Below are 20,794 nucleotides of genomic sequence, written 5' to 3' on the forward strand. Positions count from 1 at the left end.
TATGTTTATTAGCTTGAAGCATTCCACAACATCTAGATATTTTAAAAAATCATATGCTACATGGTATATACAATTTTTTTTGCTAATTAAAAAATAAAAAATAGTTATATGGTAAATTTTACATCATTTGTATTTTACCACAATAAAAAATAAGTCATTGGAACACACATCGCACCCCCCCCCCACACACACACACACACAGCAGCAGCCACAGATAATACCTAAATAAATGTTCATGGTTTTTTTCCAATAAAATTTATCTATATCCACAGGAAAAACAATTAGGTAGGCAACTGTGTCTCACGGAAGCCCAAGGGGTAAGAAAAAGGAAGTAACATTGTGAAAAGATAAGCAAAAGACATAAGATATATTCATGTACTCAGTATTGATTAAATCTGTAAAGAAAAAATAGATTGGAATGAAGAAAAGTATCAGGTGGAGAAAGCATGCCAGAAAGCATTCAGATCACTAGGGGGTAATTAACTGATTGGGAATTGGAGATATTATATTCAGGGACAGAATTGTATTCAGTGGCAGACAGCTACTCTTTTTTAACTTTTATATTAGGTTCAGGAGTACATGTGCAGGTTTGTTACATAGGTAAATTGCGTGTCATGGGGGTTTAATGTACACATTATTTCATCGCCCAGGTAATAAGTATGGTGCCTGATAGGTAGTTTTTCTGATCCTCTCCCTCCTCCCACCTTTTACTCTTGAGTAGGCTCCAGTGTCTGTTGTTCCCCACTTTATATCCATGTGTTCTTGTTATTAACTCCCCTTTTTTTTTTTTTTTTTGAGGTGGAGTTTCGCTCTTGTTGCCCAGACTGGAGTGCAGTGGCACGATCTCGGCTCACCACAACCTCCGCCTCCCGAGTTTCAAGCGATTCTCCTGCCTCAGCCTCCCAAGTAGCTGGGATTACAGGCATGCGCCACCACGCCTGGCTAATTTTGTATTTTTAGTAGAGACGGGGTTTCTCCATGTTGGTCAGGCTGGTCTCGAACTCCCGACCTCAGGTGATCCCGCTCGCCTCGGCCTCCCAAAGTACTAGGTTACAGGTATAAGCCACTGCGCCCAGCCTAACTCCCACTTATAAGTGAGAACATGTGATATTTGGTTTTCTGTTCATGCACTAGTTTGCTAAGGATAACGGCTCCAGCTGCATCCATGTTGCTACAATCTTATTTTTGTCTGGGTTGTATTCCATGGTGTATATGTAGCATATTTTCTTAATCAGTCTACTGTTGATGGACATTTATGTTGATTCCCCATCTTTGCTACTGTGAATAGTGCTGCAATAAACATATATGTGCATGTGTCTTTATCGTAGAACAATTTATATTCCTTTGGGTATATACCAAATAATGAGGTTGCTGGGTTGAATGGTATTTCTGTTTTAACTTCTTTGAGGAATCACCACACTGCTTTCCACAATGGCAGAATTGATTAACATTCCCACCAGCAGTCACCACACCTGGCCAATATCTTATGCATACATTTTCAGATACTGATGCTTCTACTGTTATTATAACAATTCACAGGATGTATATACTGGATCAGAGTGTGTGTATACACACACACACACACACACACTCTGCTCTAGTAGATACATCTATACATATATATATACGCATCATTTCAGGGAGATATAGACATATCTATACAAGTATATGTGTATCTACACATATACACATATATATCTATACATCTATACACATATATACATATGTATACATCTATACACATATATACATATGTATACATCTATATACATATATACATACACACACATATATACACATATATATGTAATTTTAGTAGGTGTTTCCACCTGCCTTCCTAGAAACAATTTAGAATTACATATTTTAACCAGAATGTATAAGAATAGGCTCTTCTCTCACCAGGAAATTTTTGTTTTGTTTTTGATTCTTTTAGTTTTGTTTGTATGATCAAATACATCACTTTGTTAACTTTTATTTCCATGATTCCTTGTGCATTTGAATATATTTTTGTATCACTGACCTATTACAATTCCATGTGTGAATTGTCTGTTAATATGTTTTGCTCATTAATTTCTATATGGTAGTTTTCTTTTCCTTCTTGAATTTTAAGAGCTCTTGGTAAATAAGAGATAACATTTGTAGAATGCTTACCACTTGCAAAATGTGATTATATTTCTTATAATTCAACAAAATTTTGTATTTCATTCAAAAGTAAAACTGTCTTACAGATTTATGATCTTTGCTTTTTGACTGTTAAGTACAAAGGTTAACCTGACATCACAAAAGGAATTGTGGAGTTTTTTTCTTTTCATATGCTTTGGAATAGCTTAAAGTATATAAATTATTCTTTAAGGGTTACGTTAAATTCATTTGTAAAGAATCCTACTACACTCTTCAACAGTACACCTTTAATAACCTACTAAATGTTTTCTGAAGTAATCAGTCTAATTTTCCACTTATTCTTATCTCAATTTTAGTGATTTGTATTGTACGAGAAAATCAAGTTTTCCAGAATTTTGCAAAATTGTTATAAAATTGCTTTTAGTTTCCACTTCATTTCTTCTGTATCTGCTGTCATGCGTCTTTTCTCATTTATCTCGTCTAGTTTTTATTCTAAGTTTTCTTTGTTATGACTGGGATAGGTTTACCTATTTTGTTAATCTTTTCAAGAGCTCACTTTTGAATGGATTATTCTTATTCAATTTTCTACGTTGAATACAATTTTTATTTTTGTTTCTATTTTTACAATTTCTTAAGATGCATACTTCTTTTATTTCCATCTTTTAAAAATCTTATGGCTATACAGTTCTCTCTGAATACAGATTTCACTATGCCTACATCATTAGAGTATGTATGAGCTATATAAATTTTACCAAGAGTTCATGAACATTTTACATTTATGTGCATTTTACCAAGAGGGAAACAGAGTATCAAAGATAAATGAAGCTTCCACAAGGTCTGATTTAAAACTATGTCTGGATAGAAGATATTTCATTAATTACATCTAGTGAATTCTCCACAAAAAGCTTTAAGAGGCTCTCTCTCCAAGTTAATAAACATTTCACACCATGATACAGACAAGGATTATTATTTATTTTGGTTGTGTTTTGTCTCTTGTACATGTCTTCTTCAAACTACCAAGGAGTGTAAGAAATGCTAATTGATAACCATGAAGACTCTAGAGGAGGGAGGTATTTGTCATGCCTGAAAGGGTATTGTTCATGGCATTTATATTACTCTTCAATGCCTCACATTGACGGTCTGGTCTGTTTTGGCCATGAATTCTCATAAGCTTGTTGCTCTTATAATGCTGTATTTCTTACTATTAGCTGTAAGTCATAACATTTTTCTGAATTCAGTACTATTTCCTCTTAAATAATCATCACCCTGCCATACAGTAACTTCTCTTTTATGTTTTTTTTTCTAATACACATTCCAGAATTATGTCTTTCAAGAATTATCAGTCTAATTGCTAAATAACTGAATGGTAAAAATATTAAAACCTTTTAAAATCTGTGTGAAGTGAATGATTACATCTGTCTACTAAGCAAAACAGAAAACATTAATATGACATGTATGTTAATGTACGAGCCTACTGTGTGTATCAGTGTTGTGACAAGCACTCTATGGTTGGAAATTAAATAGTAGGGTCACTGTGGTTACCCAAAGTTCTGCTTTCCTGTTTTGCACAATGAAAACATCTGATACCAAAATAGGTGTGAAAATTGATATTCTGTGTGAAAATGTAATAACATGCCTTGAGTTTTTGCAGAAATAAGTTAAACTACGCAGCACAATTGGCTTTTGTAGTTCCTGTCAACAGGCCTAAGATTTTACTCATAAAGTAACATGGGATGCTGTCTCAGAGTTTTACACTGTTATCTTCGGAAGTTGCTTTATTCAAATGTAATTTTGGAGGATAGAAAACCTCCATGGTTTGCTTTGACATAATGGAAACTTATTGTGACTCCAGTAGAATATTAAAATGTGAACTCTTTAGAAACACCTCAAGTTACAATAAGCAGTCTGTAAGAATTGCACATAGAAAACCTAATACATTAAATTATTCTTTAGTATGGAGTAGTCTCCTGCTGTCTATTTTAAAGGCATAGGACAAGAACTTAAGGGGGTCCCTCTTCTATCGCCAGACTAGTACTTACAATACATAATTTTGTATAACAATATATATTTAGTAATTCTAAGATTAATATATAATCATTTCAGGGAGCATTTACTTCCAGGTACTCTACCTCCTAAATGACTGGGCTATGAGGAACAATTCTCGTCATTTGCTTGTTCGAGACAGGCAAAAAACCTCGCTGTTTTCTTTTATCCCACTTTCCTTCAGGAACATGGATGTAATTTCTACCATCGTCAATATTTTATTCAAGCTAAGATTAGATATCCCATGATGGTTTACAGTAAAAGGATTTATACTTATTATATTGATATATTCAAGATTTAAGAATACTTAAGAAAAACTTAAGATGAAAGTAAACCTGAAATATGATGGTTTTCTGAAAGATTATTGACAGGAACAAGTTAGTGTTATTTTTGATTTGCTTTACAGAAAGAAGAATAGCAGACTAGGGTTCATCAAACAGAAAATAGTAAATAAGACGTCAGAATGAGGGGCATGTAACTTGAAAATAATTTCAATAACCAAGTCAAATAATGAAAATGGAAGTTCTTAGGGCAGAGCAGAAGGAGAGAGAGAAGGGAAAATGATGAATAAAACTAAGAGTTACATTCCTGTAAGATATTTACGTGTGTGTGTGTGTGTGTGTGTGTGTGTGTGTGTGTGTGTGTGTGTGTGATGTGTGGTTTGTGTATGAGAGAGAGAAAAAGACAGGTGACAAAGTTCTGACAAAGCTTTAATGAATTTTTTCATACAATTTTATTTTTGTTAGATGCAGAGAGAGATGGATGTTTAGAGTTTTGTGTATCATTTAAGCATTTGCGGTTTTAACTTGGAAGTTGCAGAAAGTTATATCTCATTCACAGGGGAACCATCATCTTTATAATATATGGTGTCTGCCTCTTCTTGCCTTTTTAGACAACCAGTGACAAGGACATTTCAGAGCTACAGGCTCTAATGAAAACACGTCCTGCGTCATTCAGCCAATTGAAATTAGACTAAAGCAGGTCGTTTCTCACATTTGTTTCAAAGGAATTGGTTCTCCCAGATCATTTCAGAGTTTGATATTTGTCCTAAGAAGGAGTCACTTTTGTTCCCTCATATGCAGTGTAAAATACAAGCATTTTTAAAATTAGCTAAGGGAGGGGGATAAGGGTAAGCTACCTTTTCACTCAGTCTTGGTGATTTTAACTAGATATGAAATGGTACAAACTATTATAAAATAATTTCACAAAAAGATTCTGAAAGGAACCCTGAAATATCCTTAAAAGTTTGAGTTGATTTCCTTAAACAGAATCTTAAACAATAACTAAAAGGGAAATCCCATGCATTGAAAATTATTATGTAAATATCCTTCCTGACACTGAAACCTCAAGCATGTACTTCCACCATCTATTTGGTTCTTTCATTTCTTTTCATTTCATTTCGTTCTCATAAAATATATATAAACCGAGAAGTTCCTTCCAACATTCTAGATAAACAGAATTTGCTTTTTAAACATGTTAAATGTCTTTTATAAGATGTCTGCCATCATGTAGCCAAGCTAAAGACTTCTCCATATTCAAGAGAAACTTCTCAAGTATTCATACAATCCTTCTAAATATAATGCATTTTAAAAAGATAAAAAATACAGGAAAGGCAAAGTAGTTTCATTGCCCTGCAGCATGTGCTTTTACACCACATTTAAGATTTACACTGTTTAAAATTTCAAGACTTATGGGCATAAATCATACCTATTTTCTTCCATTGAGAGATGCATGTATTGAATCTTTTTCTTATTAAATCATAAATACGTCGATATATACAACCTAAACGGTGGGCCATATTGCCACTGTGGACCTGGATTTCCAATGACAGCTTTTTATTCCCTTCCTTATCTCCGTATTTCAAGAATTATTTTTGATTCAGATATAGAAATTTACATTAGATAATTTTTGAAGCACATTTTGACCTCAACTATATTACAAGATTTAATTCTGGGTACTCACTACAAAGATACTATCTCTACCTTCAATGATTAAGTTTTACATATTTAGTCATTCTTTAACTATTTTTGACCACTCACTATATGCCACGCATAGAATGTTAAGAATAAATTTAAAAAATAGACTTTCAACAAATTGCTTATGGACAAGTGAAATGTTAAATTTCCTCTATATTTCAGATATGTTTATGATCACTCTGATACATTGCAGGAGAATTATTTTTAATGGAGTCATGTTTTCATTTGTTTATATACTGCCTCTTTGACAATAAAGAATTGAGGCAGTTAATACAAGTGTCTCATAATCCTAAGAAAATATGAACATTTAATGGCATGAAAGACATTAAAACAAATTTATCAAAATAGAAGTTTTGATACAGGTAATCTGGTTGAACGTATTAATAAAATGCAAACTAAACTTTTTGGGAAAGTAGCTCTTTTAACTAAACTCAACAAAATTCCTTATATAGAATATATATTAGAGGGCATTGCCTGAGTAAATGGACACTGTCCTCAATACTTTCACAATTTAGTATGAAAGATATATATACTTTCAGTATATTATTTAATTTGAATTTTTGTAATTACGTATCTTTTATCTGGCAATATAGGATGTAACTTTAACGACAAAAATCAACCCATATAGCCCCAACTTTTTAAGCTCAAGTCACGTATACTAATTTCAAGTAAAAAAAAAAAAAAAAAAGCAATAGCTACAATAAAAATCTTAAAAGATACTTGAGTGACATTATAAGAAATATTTTTAAACAGTACTATTTATAGTTATATAATTATTATCCCAGCAGACCTCCATATGTGAACATAATAGGTAACTGGCTATCTCAATTTGAAGTTGAATATACAAGAAATGTGTCAATACTAATTTCCCTTAAAGCAAGAGGTATACTAAGGGGGATGGGAAGAATAAACAACTCACCCAGAAAATTATTTTAAATGAGAACATGCTGCAATTTAAGAGTAGTTATATTACCTTGCAACTGAATGTGAGTTTAATGAATACGAGATTATGTTTGTATATTTGTATCTTCCATAACAAGTATTTTGAAAGAAGTGAACATTTACTATTAATGCATTTCGCAGATGATAAAGTGAGTCAAAGTCACGGAATCATTTGGCAAAGACCCTATAGTTGATAAGTTACAGAGTTAACAAGATCTACCTCTTCTGCAAACTTGAGAATTAATACATATAAAGTGCAAATATTTTACAGGCCTATTGTGTGGACTGACAATTTTGTGTAAGAAATACTTGTCTAACAAATTAAATTTGGAATTTGTACTTAAATACTAGATTTTATGAGTAATAAATAGAAGTAGTTTATAGTCAAATATATTCTGACATGCTCCAAAATATGTATTATATGGCTATTTAAGTTTCTGAATACTTAAAGGACACATAAAATACTAGTTTTAAAGAACATTTTAGAATCCTCTTTATCTAACATTATATGCCAGCATGTGAACAGTATATCATTTTTCAGATCAGTGACATCTGACAACCATTCAATCTAATTCAGTGACTATTTTCAATGATGGGGTTAAGTGAATATTTGAACATAGCTGTCATCTGAATTTCCACCCTAGGCTTTTTAAATACTCACCTTGGATTTGTGATTTAATGTATAGCAATGACTATTTGCTTTGTAGTATCCCACATTGTAGATTTGAAGTTACTTGGTAAAAACTTACCACCTTGTGATAGACAATTGATGAGCTGGTACAATGAACATAATTATTAGATCTACAACTGTGTCAGTTAATATTAAATTATATTAAGTCAGCGAAGTCTTGGTAATGTTCCTAGGGTATATTTCAACACTATACCTTTTGTATGAATCTTTATAAAAGGGATCGGAATTCATAAAATGTAAGCAAGGAAATCATAAGAGGGAAGACGAGGACACAAGCTTGGAGAAAGGAAGACAGATCATAATACATCTTGGGGAGCGGGGGGTAGTTTAAAGCACCACAGTTAAATCTCTATCAAATTTGTAATTTCTAAGTTCCTTTACCAGACAAAAAATTAATCATTAAACTAGACACAAAATTATTAAAAGTGCAAATATCTAATAGAGAATACTCACTGATTAGAACTTAGTTATATCCAAGGAAAGTTTAAATTACCCATTAAATATCTTTGAGAGAATAGAGTTAAGTGTAGAACTGAATTTAAAATGCCTAATGAAAGGCACTACTTACAAACAAAAGTGGGACAGGGCAAAGAAATAATAGAATGGCTGTATAAGAGATGTTTCATCCTAGCTGGGATTTGCTTTACCTTCAAAAACTTGTAAATAAAAAGAAGCTGTGGATACATTTTTACCTAGAGCTGATGTAGAGACAAGAATAACCACTTAGTAGCATAGTCTCCCATTTCTCAGGATTTTGTATTTTGTTCGCTTTTTAAAATCACAACCAACTATTACAAATGAGCTTTGCTCTCAGCAAATACCGCAATAAAGTTATCACTGCACTTAGAAGTACTTTCTTCTCAATAAGTGGCTTTCCAAAATACATTATTGACAGCAGGGATAACTTCATGCTAAAACAGCCACCACAAAGAATGCAAATTGGAACACAGACGTAGTGTCTGAGCTCTACAGATATAAGCTGAGTGGCATTCAAGTGAGGATAACAGGTTAAACGCCAGGACAGGGAAAGGAAAGAAACTGAGGAACAGGGTTAAACTGAGGAGCTAGTTTAGAACTACAGAATATGCTAGAACTAGTGATTTATGGCAGAGGGACAGGCTAAAATGGAGGAGACCCTAAGGAAAAGAGAGAAGACAAAATGACCTTGACTTAATGATCCAGAAATTACCAAAAAGTATCATTTTGAAAAGACACTTCTAATATTCCTTTAAAAATCAGAGGGCTAAATTTTGAGTGATTTTTTTAAACCAGGGTTTCTTTTCATAGGTTTATAGAATTAGGAGGCTGTTCATATGATTTTCTATTAGCAATTATCAATTTCTTGGTGTGTGGACAAACTTATCACTGGTATTCAAAAAAAAATTTTTTTTTTTGGAGACAAGTCTTGCTCGATCCCCCAGACTAGAGTGCAGTGGTATGATCACCTCTCAGTGCAACCTCCGCCTCATGGGTTCAAGTGATTCTCATGCCTCAGCCTCCCCAGTAGCTGGAATTACAGGCGCCAGCCACCACACCCGTCTAATTTTTTTTTTTTTAGTAGAGACGGGGTTTTGCCATGTTGGCCAGGATGGTCTCGAACTCCTGACCTCAGGTGATCTGCCCGCCCCAGCCTCCCAAAGTGCTGGGATTACAGGTGTGAGCCACCACGCTCGGCCTCAACTTCATTTTTTATAATAAACATATATGTATTTCTGTGTAAAACCCGTTTTTGGTTTCTATATCTCATACTTAATATTTCCCTTCCATTTTTAAACTGCATACATTTGTTTTTCTCCCTCCTTGTCTGGATCACATTCATAAGATATTAATCTATTTCATATTATAAGGAACTAGCTGTATATTTTATCTAGTGTTTCTTCTATTTCTTTATCTTTAGTTCCTGCTTTCCTTAAAGCATTTTTGTAACATTTTTATTTGAAAGCTTGATTCAATTTATCTTTTTAATGAAGATCAAAATCAAAGACAAAAATTCAAACTCTCAGTACAGCCTGAGCCATTTCTCATGGGTTTTCATATGGAATGCTTTTTCCTTCACAAATGTAGTTTTATACTCTTGGTTTAACAAACCTTAATCAAACTTAATTTATAAGTATATTATTAGTTTCTACTGTTATTAAATAACATGAATTTTGAAAGTTTGTGTGTATTTAATGACATTTTCACTGCATTCAAATATATTGCCCGTTTATAATTTGTGTATGTGGCAGGAAATTTTTTTTACTATTTTCCTAAGCCTTTAACAAGTTTACGACGAAGAGCAGATATCCGAAGTGACTCTCAGCGTGTCTTTCTTTTCTGGCTCTGGTTGTCTCCAGAAGAATAGGAAGGAGTCCTTAGTCCCCAAATTAGCCAGAAACCACGTCTACTCTCTGTCATCAAATAGAAGTGGTATGGCCTCAAAGGTGACTGGCTTCCTGATGCATCCAACAAGACTGGGCCCTAGCCAACATCAGAGTTCTCGGCATGCAGATTCTCAAGTCCTCATTTCGCACAGAAACAAAACAGAACTAGATACCTGGAATGCCGATTATACCGTTTTCCACTCCTACTTCACTAACCCACCAAACTTCTTCACCTCTTCTTTGTATGTGATGACTACATCACCTGGAATCTCTTAACCTTGGACTTCTGGTTAGACTAAACTAAGGAGCGGCACTGGCAAAACACTGGAGGATTCTATGGAGAGACTAAGGTATCACTTCTCTCAACTTCACCAGGCAATGATTTGAAACTAACAGCATTCTTTAGATACCTAGGGGCTCAGTTCACAGTTGTGTCCAGTGGCGCTCTCCCAACATGAGGGATTTTATCAAATTAATAGCCCTCTCCCCTTGACTGCTTAGGTTTAGATGTAGTAAAGGTTATTAACTCATGTGAATCCCTGCATTCTTCACCATAGTTTCTTCCTTTAATCCTCCCCACGTTTCTATAAATATTCCCCTGATTACACTCTCTTCAACTTTTTCTGTATGCCACGTGTTTAATATCAGGACAGTTAATACACTTGACTTCACAAGATACCTTAAAATTGTATAGTGAATGTATCACTTGGTTGCCTCAATGAACTGAAAATGAAAATGCTTTTGCCCTATGAAAGACACCATGTGGATCTACTGAGCTCTGGCCATTCCATAGGCTCAGGGGAGAGCATTCCCAATAATGACAGACATACGATTTTCTGAATGCCTTGTTGAGAGTTCAGACTTGAATTTAGTTAATGTAACTGAAATTTTTAAACTATTGCTCTTCTTGCACATCCAACTTCATAGGGAGATTTATTGATAATGCTCATATTTTATAGAAGTATCTACTATGCTTTAGTGTTGAGATACAGAAAATCACTATTAAACCTACAGTTATTTGTACTCTCAATCTTTTGCTGTTAAATATGTCATAAACTTGACAGTGGTGAATTAATGGCTCTAAAAATATATTTCCATCAATTTTTCTTCATGGATTTAGCAGCATTTCTACTGTGCGATACGTTTTCGTTATTGACTGTAACTTTCTTGAATAAAATGACACTCTAAGTTTGTTAGTATTCTATCACTGATTTTTCATTTTGTCTGATTTTTCCTGTTTTATATTTTTTATTATTCTTTAAGTTCTGGGGTACATGTGCAGGTTTGTTACATAGTTATACACCTGCGATAGTGGTTTGCTGTACCCATAGACCCGTCACCTACATTAGGTATTTCTCCTAATTCTATCCCTCCCCTAGCCCCCCACCCTCTGACAGGCCATGGTGTGTGACGTTCCCCTCCTAATGTCCATATGTTCTCATTGTTCAGCTACCACTTATGAGTCAGAACATGCGGTGTTTGGTTTTCTGTTCTTGTGTTAGTTTGCTGAGAATGATGGTTTCCAGCTTCATCCATGTCCCTGCAAAGGACATGAACTCATTCTTTTTTTATGGCTGCATAGTATTCCATGGTGTATATGTACCACATTTTCTTAATCCAGTCTATCACTGATGGACATTTGGCCAACATACATACGAAAAAATGCTTATCACTTGTCATTAGAAAAATGCAAATCAAAACCACAATGAGATACCATTTAACAACAGTTAGAATGGCAATCATTAAAAAGTCAGCAAAAGATGCTGGAGAGAATATGGAGAAATAGGAATGCTTTTACACTGTTGGTGGGAATGTAAATTAGTTCAACCATTGTGGAAGACAGTGTGGTGATTCCTCAAGGATCTGGAACTAGAAATACCATTTGACCCAGCAATCCTGTTACTGGGTATATATCCAAAGGATTATAAATCATTCTACTATGAAGACACATGCACACATCTGTTCATTGTGGCACTATTCACAATAGCAAAGACTTGGAACTATTACTGATTTTTAAAATAACCTGACTTATGACCCATTTAATTTCTAGTAGTGTTTTTTTAGTCATTGTCATCTCATTTAGACCTGAGTCCAAATGCCAACAATGGCTCACCATGCTTTCTTCTTCTCACCCCCACCTTACTACCTCTCTGCTCCCCTATCTCTGCTATGTTTCCTTTATCTCTAAACTCACTCTACTCCACTTGCTGAGGCCTCATTCCAAATGCTTTTTCACCTTAAGGTCTTTATTACCGTGCCTAACCCACCTTCCTATAGACAATTCCAAGGCTCACTCCCTTTCTCCAGGTCTCTGCTCATATAGGAACTGAACCAAAAGGTCTTCTCAGACCTCTTATTCTATGTATCTCTTTTTTATTCACTTAACTGTTCCTAAGTATATATGCTTCATATTGCCTACCATGTGGCTGTAATCTCTGACACACAAAGGGTTGTGTTTGCTCTGACACCAATCAATCAACTTATATACCTGTGAATTTTAAAAGGAAATTTGGATAGGACTTCTTCAATGTGATTATTTATATCCTGCACAGGCTTATTGATATAGAACACACCCAAGCTCAACTTTAGAAAAAAAATCCTGCTTGAGCATTTTGATTTATTCTTCCTAATAAGCAAACTAAAGTTGTACTTATGGATGTTTTCCATTTTTGTTTATACTTATGACAAAATGGAGAATTATAAGATAATGCATTTTTTTTTTTTCACTCTGTGGCCAGGCTGGAGTGCAGTGGCACGATCTCCACTCACTGCAACCTCTGCTCCCAGGTTCACGTGATTCTCCTGCCTCAGCCTCATGAGTAGCTGGGACTACAGATGCACACCACCACGCTCAGCTAATTTTTGTGTTTTTAGTAGAGATGGGGTTTCACCATGTTGGCCAGGATGGTCTCAATTTCTTGACATCATGATCCACCCGCCTGGACCACCCAAAGTGCTGGTATTACAGGCATGAGCCACCGCGCCCAGCCTAGATTTACTTTTGAAAATCCATGTGTTATTGTTCAGCCACAGGCTAAGGTAAAGGTTCCTTTGTTCCAAGTTTGGTTTCTGCATGAGAATGTCTTGAGGTTTTGTCCTCTAACGCATAGGCCAGCATCTTATGCAGCTCCCCATTAAAGCTCTAGCTCAGATGAAAGCATTGTTAATATCTGCTTTTGAACAACTCCTTCTCAAATTTAAGCCATTATTTTGGGGCCTTTTCCCTACTAAAACATTAGGAGGTTCTATATTTTCTGTAAGAAATGTGGCCTTCCCTGAAGAGATTCATATGACATCATATTCTAATTTTATATTCACTTATATTCATTTAATAATTTCATTAGAAAACATGGGGTCTATGATCAGATTTCTATATATGGCCCGTGGAGTTTCGGAGGTTTTAAGTTCCCTTCATAAGTTCCTCTTTTAATTGAAGTGGAATATGCATATAGAAAAATATACATAAGTGTACAACTTGATGCGTTTTCTTACAGTAAATACACATGTGTAACAGCTATCAGGTCAAAACATGGAACAGTGAGCACCGCAGAAGATTCTCTTATGCGTTTTACTGACTTACTCCTTCCAAAAGTTAACCACTCTCTTCAATTTTAAACCCATGGAAACATTTTGCCCGTTTTTGAAATTTAATTGAAAGAAATCATAGTAGGTATAATTTGTCTGATTTATTTCACTCAAATACATTTTAACGACTTCATCTTGTATATTGTGTGTAGCTATCATTTGGTCATTTTCATTGCTCTGTAATATCCCATCATGAGAATGTATCATAGTCACTTCCAGTTTGGGCTATCACAAATGAAACTGCTATGAACATTCTCACATATATATGTGTTTTTGGCAAACTGGGAAATGTATTTCTGTAACTTGTATGTCTACAATAGAATTGCTGGGTGGTAAGAAATGTGCATTTTCACATTTAGTAGATCATGCCCAACTCTTTAATTAGTTGCCTGAATTATATTTCCAGAAGTTAATTGTGAGATTTCCAGTTGATCCATGTCCTCATCAACATTTGGCATTAGTAGTCTAGTTCAGTCATTTTGGTAATTTTGTACTGGTATCTCATTACAGCTCTAATTTAAATTTCCTCAAGTTACTGCTGAGGTTAAACATTTCTTAAATATGATTCTTGAATTTGTGAACACCTTTTGTGTTCCTGTTCAATTTCAGTTTCTCATTCTAGAAAACCTAAAATTTAAAAAAAAAATCAAGAAAAACAGAAGACTGGGATACTCCATATGTAAATGTGTCAGTTATTCTCTATAGATTTAACTCAATGTTAATCATACTTAAAATGAATGTACATGTAAATGGAAAAGATTACAAAACAAATACAAAAATAGAAAGGGCCAATAACCAATAAAATCTCGAACAAAGTGGGAGAACCTAGTTCACCAGATACTAGGCTGTATTATAAAACTACATTACTCCACATTACATGATATTTGTGTGTGTAGAGAGAGAGAGAACAATGCAAGAGAATTGAAGTGCAAAAACAGACCCACATATGTACGGACAAATTTTTAATGACACACTTAGTACTGTGAAGCAATGAGGAAGCATTATTTTTAATAAATGGTGTGTTAATTAGACTTCAAATAAAATAAATACTGAGTCTTAACCTATTCCTCACACCATATGCAATAATCAATTTCAGGTAAAACAGATCCAAAAACAAAATGGTAAAACGATAATGGTTCTATAGATAATAACCTAATATAGTATCATAATGGCTTTGGGTAGGCCAGTATTTCTTCAACAGGTCATAAAAATATAAAGTTTTAAAGAATAAACTATATCCAAGTGGAGAACTTGTTTTTATTAATATTAACCATTGAAGTGAGTAAAAAGGTAATCCACAGAAAAGGAAAATACATTTGCAACTCAAAACAAAGGGCTCATATCCAGAATATAGCAATAACTCAATTTTGATGAAGTCCAAGTTAACTTTTCTCTTTTTGAAACATGCTTTGGATTCAGGTATCATAAATACTTGCCTATCCCAAAGTCATATAAATTTCCTTCTATATGTTTTATTGCCAGGATTTTTCTGGTTCCCTTGGAGTAGGCAGATAGCCAGAAATGAGCAGGCAAGGGAGCCCCATTGAGAAAAGAAGTCCTGAAGATGCTGTTTCACTGAGTCAGTGCTGCCTGTTGACAATCAGCGAAACGGACAATGAATACACACACTGTCCACACTGATTATGTCTAGCCTTGTGGTTGGGCTCCTCTAGCCCCAAAGGGGACTTCTCAGGCCCTCGCCAGAGATAACCACGCTAGGGATTTTCCCCACTGACAAGCATGCACACACTCCTCCAAAAACTTGCCCTATTCTTTTGCTCATTGTAATAGTGTAAACAAACAAACAAACAAAAAAACCCACACACCCCTGGGTGGAGATTTTAGATGCCAATGAGATGTGGTATGTGTGCTAGCATGTACAACCAGAGCATGTGTGCCCAAAAAACCTCCCAAAACATACTTGCAAGTAAGACCCCCCCCATACACCCTTTCATGATTTATCACGTAGGAGTCTCAAAGTTCCCCAGCACTAGCTGCTGCTGGCTCTTTGTTCCCTTGTGTTCGTGTGCATTCAGTGTTTAGCTCGTACTTATTGAGAATATGTGTTATTCGGTTTTCTGTTTCTGTGTTAGTTTACTTAGGATAATGACCTCCAGACTCATCCATGTTGCTGCAAAGGACATGATCTAATTCTTTTCTGTGGCTGCATAGTATTGTATTTCATGCTGTATATGTACCAAATTATTATTATTTTTTTTTTTGATATGGAATCTCGCTCTGCCTCCCAGGCTGGAGTGCAGTGGCACGATCTCCACTCACTGCAACCTCAGCCTCTGGGTTCAAGCAATTCTCCTACCTCAGCCTCCCGAGTAGCTGGGATTACAGGCATGCACCAGCATACTCAGCTAATTTTTGTATTTTTTAGTAGAGACGGGGTTTCGCCATGGTGGCCAGGCTGGTCTCGAACTCCTGACCTCTGGTGATCTGCCAGCCTCGGCCTCCCACAGTGCTGGGATTACAGGCATGAGCACCGCGCCCGACCTGTACCGCATTTTCTTTATGCAGGATTGAGTTTTACAGGATATCCCAAAGTTTGTTTTTTTAAATGACATTTTCTTGCTGGGGACAGTCAAGCTACAAATAAATTAAATCTAATAATTCTGTGTTCCGCTCTTTTCTTCACTGCTACATTTTGAAACAGAATATGATATTTTGATATTTCAAAGACATTTTCTTTGTGTAACTTTAATATTGTTAACAATTCTCATAATGTCAATGACACTGATATTTCCAAAGAGTCCATCGGACTAATAAACAAGAAAATCAGCTCATAGATTATTCTGGCTGCGGAGTGAAAAATCTAGTTAATTTCTTCCTAAGACAAACATCTCTGTAAAATAACTTTCATAGGTTAAAGGTGACAATGACCCTGAATTCATAAAATCAGCCAATTAATTGCTGCACAGTTTCCATTTCCATATCTTATGTAATGTCATCTCCCTGCCAGATAAGCTGAGCAACATTTGGGGGAGTACATGTTATTATTAATCTATCCCTGCTTATGGTTATTTTAAGAGTAAGTGATCAACGTACTCAATGTACTTGAGTTTATCTTTGAAAGAGAGAGGTAATGTAATTAGGGAGCTACTAAGTGCCTGGTGAAATGTATTGGTCGATTAGACAGATTTTAGGATGTTAATAAGAAAGGAAGGCTGCCTCCAATGCCATGACACAGGGGAAGAGTCACCAAGTGGTTCAGAGGAGATTAGAATTCCTCTGACCTGCCTACTTGGTTTAGCTGTGACTGTTTACTTCTTCTAATGCAACACACGTATTTTAATCCAGTTAAATCTAAACCAAAAAAACAAATCTGCCATTCATACCCCAAGTAAAAATAGTGATGTTTCTGTATAATTTATATGCTTGGAGACAGCGTTTAATAAGTGTTGGCTTGATTTAAACAAACATCATTATCAGGTTTGAACACATTTAGTACATAAATATTTGGTATAGAAAAATCCGTTTGTTGCACAAAACACTGCCGTAAGAAACAGAGTTCACCGGGCACGGTGGCTCACGCCTGTAATCTCAGCACTTCGGGAGGCTGAGGCAGGTGGATCACCTGAGGTCAGGAGTTCGAGACTAGCCTTGGCCAACATGGTGAAACCCTGTCTCTACTAAAAATACAAAAATTAGCTGGCCATAGTGGCATGTGCCTGTAATCCCAGCTACTCGGGAGGCTGAGACAGGAGAATAGCTTAAACCTGGAAGGCAGAGTTTGCAGTGAGCCGAGATCACGCCACTGCACTCCAGCCTGGGACAGAAGAGCGAGACTCCATCTCAAAAAAAAAAAAAAAGAAAAGAAAAGAAAAGAAAAGAAAAAAGAAAAAGAAAAGCAAAGTAAGAAAAGAAACCGAGTTGACTGCAGGACTTTGTCCACCAAACACAGCTTCATGAAGTAAAATCTGAAAACAGGGAGCAGCCTATCAGGTCAGGTCTATGTCTTTTCCCTTCCCTCTGTGGCAGCATGCATTTGCTTCCTGAATTATATTAGCCACAATCAGGCATACACGAATTACAACATGTGCTCTCAGTAAGAACTGGTCTGATTTACAAGAGAATTTGAAATACTTTCTCTGCATTTGGGGCCAAAGCCCTCACTCAAACATGAAGCATGCTGTGTCACAGCATCCAGACCTTGTCCAGGGTACTACTTACATTATTGTTCTGCAAAACCCGCAGTGCCTTGTTGACATTGTTCAGGGCATGAACTCTTGTGGATCCTTTTTCTTTTGGCTGAGAACAAAACAAAAGAGTGTTCACTGACCAGCAGAGAGACCGACAATCTACTAGAAATGAAACCATTTATAATTTCACTATTAAGCTTGAATATTGTAAACGAACAGAGCCTGTGAGGCATTAATATAATGAATCTAAATACTTTGCGCTAATTGTCCTTGGCCTGGTACGTTTTTAGCATAAACCAACCACTCTAAGAATGGCAACACTTTTTCTTTACAAAGCCTATTTTGGTATGATTGTTTCTTCATTCTATAGCCCAGTTGGGGATTACTGCATGACCACCAATGACAGAAACATCAGCATGCATAAAAACATTTTCTAGTAAGATAGAAAAACAATTCCCAAACTTTTTAGAAAAATCTAAAGGAGATTTGACTCTAGCAAAATTATATAATGCCAAATAGGGTTAAAGGAAACCTTTTCTGTGAAGATTACCTTAATTGTCCTTGTCACTGAAGCTCTAAACCTCAATCACTTTGGTTCCCTAATTTTATTCTCAATCCCAAAAGTTGTATCTTATCCTGTAATTTTTAAACCAACATCTGCATAGTTCATTGTAATATACAAATTAACTCATTTATTAAGTTGTAGAGTTTTAGAAATTCTACCATTATGATAACCTGTTTTATTTACTCTCATTTTCATTTCTTTTACCTTACTACAAGCCCTTATTAGCTATTGCCCAGAGAAATCTAACCTCTTTCCCTTCTCCACTCACTCACCATTTTTTTCATCCTTCCTTCATACCATCAACAATGACGTTCCTGAAGTAAGCCCACTGCCAATGCAAACCACTTGCAAAGTTCTCACCTAAACATTTGGGTGATTATAGGTAACAGTTAAGGGCAAGAGCTACAAAGCTGACTGCCTGGGTTCAATTGTCAGCTCTGCTGTTTTTGTGCTGTCTGGCCTACATAAAAAATTTAATCTCCCTGTATACCAGTTTTCTCATCTGTTAAAAATGGACTTAATGAAAATATTAGCAAGAGGCATACACAAGTTACAACATGTGCTCTCAATAACAACTGCTCTGATTTACAAGAGAATTCGACATACTTTCTTCTCTGCATTTGAGGTCAAAGCCCTCACTCAAACATGAAGCATGCTGTCTCACAGGATCCAGACCTTGTCCAGGGCACTACTTATTGTTCATATTGCTCAAACCATTGTACATATGGTTTCTGGCAGAATTCAGTGTGTCGATATGCATAAAGCACTAAGATTGGTGCTTGTCACATAGTTGGTCCAACATAAATATTATTGACTTCGTAGTATGTGCCAAGTACTTTGAATGCACTACCTTTAATCCCCGCCTTGCAAGGCAGTTAGTTTCATCCCTATTGTACAGAAGTGAACCTCAGGTTAAAATATCTAATATATAGATTACCATATAACTAATAATTGGTGGAGCCAGGACCCAAACTTTTGTCTGTGTCTGTAGAGCCCCAGTCTTGCAAATTTATTTCCTTCTTCTCTAACTACCTTGTGCATGCACCAAACAAATATCTATATTTCTGTGTCTTGCATTTAACTCCTATACTTTCCAGCAAAGCTCCTGGTCTTTCTCAAGTAGTTCCTCACCCTAGAACTCCTTATCATTTGCACTGCCTGCTGAACAACCCAAATTAAGCTAAAGCCATCTTACTCTCCAAGGTAACTTGCCTGATATCCTTTATAACACAGTATTGACATCTTGTTCCTTTGATTTCACAAAACATTAAGGCTAACCTTATGAACCAGAATCTCCATTTTTACCTCTTAGATTTTCCTCCAAGAATGTCAGAATGATGTTGGTTTACATTCTGATATTTCTCCCACTTTCCACCAAAAAGAGGAAAAAAATAAGACTTTAGATTTAAAAAAAAAAAAAAAAAAAAAAAAGCAACAGCCAGACATTTGGGGAGGCTGAGGCAGGTGGCTCATTGAGATCAGGAGCTCAAGACCAGCCTGGCCAACATGGTGAAACCCCATGTCTACTAAAAATACAAAACTTAGCCAGGCATGATGGAACATGCCTGTAGTCTCAGCTACTTGGGAGGCCGAGGCAGGAAAATTGCTTGAACCCAGGAGGCAGAGGTTGCAGTGAGCCAAGATCATGTCGCTGACTCCAGCCTGGGCGACAGAGTAAGATTCCATCAAAATAAAAAAAAAATACATGAAAGAAAAACAGCAAATAACCAATCTTCTTGTGTATATATAGATTGACAGTATACAAGTTTAATGGTAATTATAGGACTTTAAAGTTTTGAAAATAATTACTCAAATCAGTTCTCTGCCTAGTAGTTAGACCAAAGCCACATATTTCCTTTCAATTATGTAATTATATAGTCACAAGATTTAGCAAAATTTTCCTTTGTATCATATTCAAACATTAAATGTACACATGTGCATATGTATTAGAACCAAACATAGTCTACTCTTTTAAAAAGCTGCAGTTTCTGATCCTGAAGTGGGAACTTAAAATCTGCCCCTATTAGAGTCTCCTTGGGGAGTATTTCTTATTTTATGATTGTAAGGCAAGTACCTTCCTTTTAACCCTGGGGATGTCCTGAGCCAATAATCCAAATGCAGATGCTTCTGAGTAGAATACTAAAATTTCTGTTCTATAGTATACATGCCTCCCATTAGGAGTAGAAGATATATCTCTACAGAAACTATTAGAATTCAAGACAAGGCATAGCGAATTGGAGTTCTGGGATCGGGAGCATTTGTTAGAGGTGATTCTGCTTTATGAGAAAGGCAAAATCCTCAGACCAGGGCTGACAGATCTGTGATTAGGACAAACAATGGTGAATGGATTCTGTTAGTAG

General features: G+C 35.6%; 1 protein-coding gene across 17 annotated transcripts in view; it reads right to left on the reverse strand.

Moving 5' to 3' along the window:
* DMD (dystrophin) overlaps nt 1-20,794 on the reverse strand; it is a 2,220,167-nt gene that overhangs the window by 1,707,661 nt on the left and 491,712 nt on the right. For all 17 annotated transcript variants that reach the window (XM_006724469.4, NM_000109.4, XM_011545467.2 and 14 more), the window contains 1 exon segment: nt 17,901-17,978. In XM_006724469.4, the coding sequence (XP_006724532.1) occupies nt 17,901-17,978 (78 nt within the window).

Source organism: Homo sapiens, chromosome X (genome assembly GCF_000001405.40).
Source record: "Homo sapiens chromosome X, GRCh38.p14 Primary Assembly".
In the NCBI taxonomy this organism is placed as follows: domain Eukaryota; kingdom Metazoa; phylum Chordata; class Mammalia; order Primates; family Hominidae; genus Homo; species Homo sapiens.